The following is a 7,463-nucleotide window of genomic DNA, read 5'->3' on the forward strand; positions in this document are numbered from 1 at the left end:
CAGGCTGGAGTGCAGTGGCACAATCTCGGCTCACTACAACCTCTGCCTCCTGGGTTCAAGCAATTCTCCTGCCTCAGCCTCCTGAGTAACTGGGATTACAGGCATGTGCCACCATGCCCAGCTAATTTTTATATTTTTAGTGGAGGTGGGGTTTCACCTTGTTGGCCAGGCTGGTCTTGAACTCCTGGCCTCAGGTGATCCGCCCACCTAGGCCTCCCAAAATGCAGGGATTACAGGTGTGAGCCACCACGCCCGTCCCTATAAATCTTTATTTTAAAACTGTTCTTCTGGTCACTCTTAAAATAAACCAGAATTGATAGTCTCTACCCCATAACATGGTTTATATCTGGTGGGTGAGACATCATGAGAGGTCAGAGCTGACACTGAGGGGGAGGTAGGAAGGGAAGCACAAAATTCTGGCCCCTGGCTCAGTACCTGGTAACACAAGCTTTCTCGCTCTTTCCCTACACAGCCACTGGGGGCCTTCTTCCATTTCTTGGTAATCTTAAATCAGCTTTCCTGTGTGACCTTACAGGTGAATAGCGGTTTAACGCTATAGAATTAGAGGTAGTGAAAGACCAAGAGGAATTTTGCCTATCTATCTAAATACTAATTGTCTTTTCAGGGCCATCATAAAGAAAGCGCCTTTTGTATGAAACCTTTGCTGGTCCATCTCTGCCAAGTATTAAGTATGATATATAGCAGGAATCTCATATAATATTTTCTCAACTAGTTGCTCTTCAAAGGTAGGGACTATGTCCAGTTCATCATCTCATAACTCTACAGCCTTTGGCCTGTAATATCAATAGAAGGTGGTTGAATGAGACACAGAGGCCAGTGGCTTAAGGTTTTATTGATGCATTAGGGTAGATGGGGCAATAGAGAGATGTCAGAGATAAAAATAGTCCTGAAACCCCCCACAAGATGAGGACAATTCAGTACAAAGGGGTGACTTGCTCTGAGTCTTCCTGCTCCTGAGAGGGTCTGCACCGCAAAGCAGGTAAGAAAGAAGAGTTCAGGATAGAAAGCTCCTTGCAGAAATTATCTCATTGAGAAAGACCTAAAAGGGAAGCTGCATAATGAAGAGCTGATGTCCAGGGATGCACCCACTGGATTGGCCATGCAGGACAAGCCAAACTCTCTCCAGCTGTCTTCTTCCAGTACTGGACATTGGAGTCGGGGAAGTCATGGCTTGGTGCTTCTCAAGTAGGAATACAGCTCTCTAGCTGTGATGCCTCGCTTCTCTTCTGACTGGGCTGCATCCTGGCCCTGTGCTGAGGAAACACTGGTATGCAAGTTGCCCTGGTCCAGCCTGAGGATCACTGTCTCCCTTGAGTGGTCATCAACCCATTCCTCACCAACCACTGTGGGCTGTCTGTCTCCCTGCCCTTCTGTCACACAGCGCCTTGGGTGAGTGCTGCTCCACTCCTGCCTTCCTGACTCAGTGCTTGCCCCAGTCTGGGCCTGTCCTCCCGGTACTGTCTCTCCTGCCTCAGGGTTGCTCACTTGCATCCATCTTTGACCACTGCCTGGCTGCGTCTGGGTCTGTCCCTGTTCTCTAGCCCCTCCGTGGCTTACAGTTTGGCTTCTGTCCTGCTCCACAGTCTCGGTGTGTGACCCTGCCTGTATCTGAGTGTGTCCTCCTGTCACAGCCTGGCTGGTCTGGCTCCTGCCTTGACCGTGGATCTCAGTCCCTCTGTTCTGGCCATTGGTGGACTCCTGTGTCTGGGTGCTGGTGCTTCCTGTCTGGTGGCTGCTGTCCTGCTCCACGGTCTGGGTGGGTGTCTGGGTGTGTGTCCCTGCCTGTATCTGAGCATGTCCTCCTGTCACAGCCTGGCTGGTCTGGCTCCTGCCTTGACCGTGGGTCTCAGTCCCTCTGTTCTGGTCATTGGTGGCCTCCTGTGTCTGCTTGCTGGTTCTTCCTGTCTGGTGGCTGCTGTCCTGCTCCACAGTCTGGGTGGCACCTGCCTGGGTCTGAGTTCCAGATCCAGTCACAGTCTCACCTGTCTGGTGGGCTCTGTCCTGTTCCCTGGTCTGTGGCTGTCTCTCTGGCCTCATCTCTGTTGTCTGATTCCTCTTGCCTTCTCCAGCTTTCTGGGTCTGCTCTGTCTGCCCAGAGAGTTGTATCTGCGGGCTTATTCTTTCCTGGCTCTGGGACTCAGCTTGCCTGTCATAGCTGCTGACCCACGCAGAGCCAGTGGCCTGACCCTGGGTCTGAACCCCAGGCCTGTTCTGCCCTCTGGAACCCTGCTGGCTCTGTCTGTGGCTGCTCCCCTCATAATGCTGCCCTTTCCCCGCCCTTCCCACTTCAGTGCCACTTCTCTGTCCTTCGCCCAGCTCCTGCGAGGCCCCAGAGTGGAGGCTTCCAGACTCTTGAGAGCCGCAGGCTCCCTCAGCACTCTCGCTCAGTGTCTTGAAACAGGCCTGGGCAACTTTAAACACTAAGACCAGGAATTCCTTGAATTCCACAGTCCCTGTGTGGTCTTCATCCAGCAGACGCAGGACCTCATCCACAGTTGCTGGATCGTGGGGTTTCTGAGGAGAAGATGAGGTGGAGTCAGCATCCCTCCCCTGAGGAGGACATGGGCAGGTCCCTTCCAATCTGCTGCCAGCTTCCCCTGCCTCAGACCCCACACTACACACACATACGGCTAGAGCAGCAGCAAGACTTAATTGCCTTTATTTTTTTTTAGTCCCGTCTCTCTCCCTCAAGTGTAGAGAGCATTTTTTGTTTGGTAGCCTCTATTTGGCACAATTTCTGGGCTACAGGAAAATTAGATAAAGATTTATTGAAGAGTTAATAAATTATTGAATTCACAATGCAACTGTTTGGGCTCTCAAGTTGACTGTCTGGGCTGCCCTTGGCACCTTGCCCCTGGCACTGAGGCCTTAGTCTCTTCAGCAGGCCCAGCACAAAGAGCAGCAGGTTGGGAACACAGCCCCATGGGAATTCTGTGCGCTCCTCATTGAGGCCCAGATGTTTCCCCATGATAAAGAGGGAGGGAAGCAGTGGGCCCCTGCAGCGCTGCCCTGAGCATGTGGATGCAGCATCCTTCTGTGCCCATATGTCCTTGTCCCTAAGGCCATCATCATCCTGGTTGCTTTAGATGCAAACCAAAGACAGGAAAGTGCATCAAGGCCTTGGTTCTGGTTTGCCAGGTGGGGTGGGGTGAGGCTCCAAAGTCTCCCCCTAGCTATTAACAACCTGCTCTTCAAAATTTCATTTCTGATGTGATCAGTCTGCTAATATTTTTGAGTAACTGCTTCGTGCAAGCCCAGAGCTATGCTTCTAATGAATGTCTATGAATGGATGATTACATTTCAGATAGACGTGGGAAATATTTACTGTATCAAATTTAAGAGGCGGCAGAAAGCAGCAATTATTTTCATTTTGAAATATTCCAAGGCTCTGCTCCTGTCTGAGTTGTCCTTTTAGAGCCCTTTTACCTTGTCTTTAAGTTAGAATTAATTAAAACCAAGGTTTTAATCTAAAGAGCCAGGACTTGCCAACTCCCATGACCATCTCTGGTTCTTTCACCTTTTTTTCTGCCTGCACAGCTGCCATCTGTCCCGGCAGGCCTGGGTTTAGCTGCTGCCTCCTCAAATTCCCCAGGCAAGGCCTCTGCAGGCAAACCAGGTTTCACTCTCCTGCTATGTCCCCTCTCCACCCGGCTCAGCACACCGTACCACAATCACATCGGCAAACTCTTGCTCCAAGAGTCTTTTCAGCTCCCCTCGGGTGAGCGCTGTGCAGTTGCCCTCCGTCCTTGCATAGCGCCTGAAGGCCTCGATGATCCCATTAATGTTTTGCAGTAACTGAGGCATCTTTGAAGTCAACCTGGAAAAGATGAAAAGTTCCCTTGGAGGCTCCATAATCAACCTCAGCTATTTCCTTTATAGCACGTCTGCTGCTAGGTCTTTCCTTGCACGTTCAGCTCTGTTTTTAGTTTTCCTTTGTCCTTTCCTACATAATGCATCTTATGTATGGGAAGGAGGAGCACACAGGATGGAGGCAGGTTCCTGAGTCAGGATTAAATGCTGGCCCCACCACTTAAGTATGGTGTGAGCTGGGACAAGTTGCTTTGCCTCTCCATGCCTCAGTTTACTACTCATTGTAATTGAAGGTGATATTAGTACTCTGTGGGATTATTGTGAAGATTTAAAGACATAATTCATAAAAAGCACTTGGCAGATGCCTGGCTTATATTAAGTGCTCCTTATTAAATATAATTATTATGCTATTATATACATATACACACATATAATTTTTGTACACCTATATAATCACTTTCCTGTACATCATCTCTTCTAATCCTTATTATTTCCACTTTTTTTTATAGGTGAGGAAACAGGCTCAGAGAAGTTAGGCCACACAATTTTTAAGGAGCCAAGAAATCCTAGGATCCATTTTTCCTTAACCCAAATGCAATGGGCTTTCTAGAATGTACCCTGTGGACAGGATTTATTTATTTATCACAAGGGTGTTAGGGTCCCATCGGGAACACCAAAAGGAAGTAAATACATCTGTGAGTCAACCCCTGTCTTGGATGGGAGCCAAGCAGAAATTCCAGGGACACAGCCCTCCCTTCTTGTTTTTTTTGGGAAAGTGGGAAGAAACTGGGCTACCACCTGCTGGGAATGCTCAGGAGGGGGGAACCTTCTTTGGGTGGGAGGCCTTCCAGTTCTGAGGGTCCAAGTTTCTCTGCATGTCGCCTCTGTCCACAGCCCTGAGACTTATCAGAGAAGTCAGCTTGCCCAACAGGCACGTGGCTCCATCAGGCCCAGATTTCTGGTGACCTATGAGTTGGTTCCTAATCAAAGGGAAAGCTTTTCTTTTTCATTAGCCAGAAATCTAGAGGTAGGTTGAGGTGAGGCCTGGGTTTGGTTGCATGAGCAAAAGGAAAAGAGACTTGAAGATTCATTAAGCAGAAGCCTTGGAGAGACCCAAAGGAGGAGATGGTATCAAAGATGACAAGTCTCAAATGCAAGGGGAGATGGAGCCTGTAGCAGCTGGAAAGCCAGAGAGAGGATGGGACGAGGCAGATATAGGTAGGAGAAGAAAGAGAAAAAAGGAAGGAAGGAGACTTGAGTTCTAGAAAAAGCAGATTAGTGTGGCCATGAGGACTCAGTAAGTCATAGCAAAAGGTGGGCTGTTCAGGAGAAACCCTTTCTAGGACCTGGTAACCAACAATTTCAGGCAAACTTTTCATCAAGGTAAAAAACTGGGGATGTTTTCCTCAACATAGATGAAAAATATCTTTCTTTTTTTTTAAAACCATGTAGCAGACTTTAACCACTGACCTTTAGATAATAAAATAATAAGATGACCTTTTAGTTACATTTTAGATTCCTTAGAAAAATCTACACATATTTTGCCTAAATATCACCCTGGTGTAGGAGAGGGGAATCATGTAAACCCCTTCATCCATGACACAGTTTGATCTTATTGTCTAGGTTGGCATAAGTAAACTGATTCTGATCCCATAGACTCTCAGCACTGCAAAGAAGCTTCCAGAGCCTTAGAAAAAAGAAACCTTTGCTGATCCAGGAAGGCACATGGGTGGCCCCATAGCCGCTGCCCACACAGTTTCCCAGTGAGAGGAGCTGCTCCCAGGCCAGCCTCAGGGAGGAGGAGAAAGCCTGATTGCTTCAGGAGAGCATGTTTCCCAACGGTAGCGTTGGTTTGCCCAGTGCTCACAGCTAGCTCTGAAGGATGCATAGTCCATACCTGACTGCCCCAGTTTTATGAGCTCAGATCACCAAGACACTGAGAATGAGAAAGAGGTTTCTTATGAGGGGACTTACCTAATGCCCAGGTGGGATGAAACAAGTGGCTGTTAAGTGGTGTGAGGAGTACCAGGTCAGTGTGATGAGAACCTTTTATAGGGGTTTTAACCAAGGCTCTTGTTTTAGACAGGATATCCTGCCCTATGGGAAGGCTTGATTCATCCAAGATCCAGCCCAGCCCAGCCACACCTCCTCTTGTCTCTGTTTTACCTGCTGATGTGTGACTGCCTTGGTCTAATTAACAGGCCCCTCCTACCACATTTGGTACCTTCTGTAGCTGAGTCCTCTTGACAGGGAAGCTTCTTTCCATTGTGATGGGCTCAGCAGTGCTTGGTACAGGCTGGGGTCCTGGTGAACATTCTTTGTCTCTATGAGCCTACAAAGTTATGGGACTCTTTCCTTTTTTTTTTTTTTTTTTTTTTGAGATGGAGTCCTGCTCTGTCGCCCAGGCTGGAGTGCAGTGGTGCGATCTTGGCTCACTGCAACCTCCGCCTCCTGGGTTCAAGCAATTCCCTGCCTCAGACTCCTGAGTAGCTGGGATTACAGGTGCCTGCCACCATGCCCAGTTAATTTTTGTATTTTTAGTAGAGACAGGGTTTCACCATGTTGAACAGGCTGATCTTGAACTCCTGACCTCATGATTCACCTGCCTCTGCCTCCCAAAGTGCTGGGATTATAGGTGTGAGCCACCGTGCCTGGCCACTGTTTCCTTTTTTAATATAAATGTTCAAGAATATATCTATTGAGGTTAACTTTTACAAAGTAGCCACTCTGAGAGGGCACACATGTTTTTGTGGTGATGTTACTTAGAACTGTTATTACTTAGAACATTTTTTGAATTCTTGTTTTGTAAGTGCCTTTCACACCTAGTGTATGAGACACAAGAAAGCCAGTTTCATCTCTTTAAAGTTGGTCTCATTTTTAATTAAAACAAAAAAAGTTAATACCTTCCCCACCCCATGCTATGGGTAGGTAGCATTTTGTAGCTGATGAGAAAAAAGGCTTACCATGATCATGTGGTAACTCCTCATTGCAAGGACAGGAAACTCAACTGGTGGCTAATCAGCAAATATTTATGGAAAGCTTGCTCCATTTCAGGCAGAGGGCTAAGGCCCTAGGAATACAGTGTTGAATACGATGGCAGCAGTTTCAACTCTCATGAAGTCTATAGCCTGGCCATCCCAGGGGTAAGTCCCCAAGAGGTTAATGATAATGGTATTGCCATTTCATTTCATTTGATTTTATTCCATTTTCATTACCATCTCATCTTATTTGATCTCCCTAGCAATCCTCTGAGGTGGTATGGCTAAGCCCAATTCATAAATGAGAACACTGAGAAATCCTCAGAGAAGTAGCCACTCTGTGAAGCGGAGACGGTGCTGGACTAGAGCCCCTCAGACTCCAGGCCTGTGTTCTCTCTGTTGCACCATGCTGCCATTTATTCTTCTCTCATTGAGTTTTGGCACCTTATGAACATCACACTTATCCTCAATGCATGAAGAACCATTCCTGAGGAGGAAGTTTTCTGAGCTCAGAAGCCAAGTCCCAAAGAGTGCTCTTGAGTGGCACTTTGCAGATAATATATACTGTGTAGCTTCCTGAGTGACTCTGGAAGGGAAAGCCATCTTTACCATCCTCACTTATAGATCAGCATGCAACAGACAGGAAAGGGAACA

The 7,463-nt window shown here is 47.6% G+C and overlaps 1 protein-coding gene across 1 annotated transcript; it reads right to left on the minus strand.

Moving 5' to 3' along the window:
• Positions 1–834: 834 nt before the first annotated feature.
• CRNN (cornulin) lies at positions 835–5,855 on the minus strand. The gene is made up of 3 exons (NM_016190.3): positions 5,806–5,855; positions 3,688–3,838; positions 835–2,535 (listed from the first exon to the last, which is right to left on the minus strand). The coding sequence occupies exons 2-3, from the start codon at positions 3,823–3,825 to the stop codon at positions 1,186–1,188; spliced, it is 1,488 nt and encodes a 495-aa protein (NP_057274.1). The 5' UTR covers positions 3,826–3,838; positions 5,806–5,855; the 3' UTR covers positions 835–1,185.
• Between the last annotated feature and the right edge of the window lie 1,608 nt (positions 5,856–7,463).

This window comes from Homo sapiens, chromosome 1 (assembly GCF_000001405.40).
Source record: "Homo sapiens chromosome 1, GRCh38.p14 Primary Assembly".
NCBI classification, from domain to species: domain Eukaryota; kingdom Metazoa; phylum Chordata; class Mammalia; order Primates; family Hominidae; genus Homo; species Homo sapiens.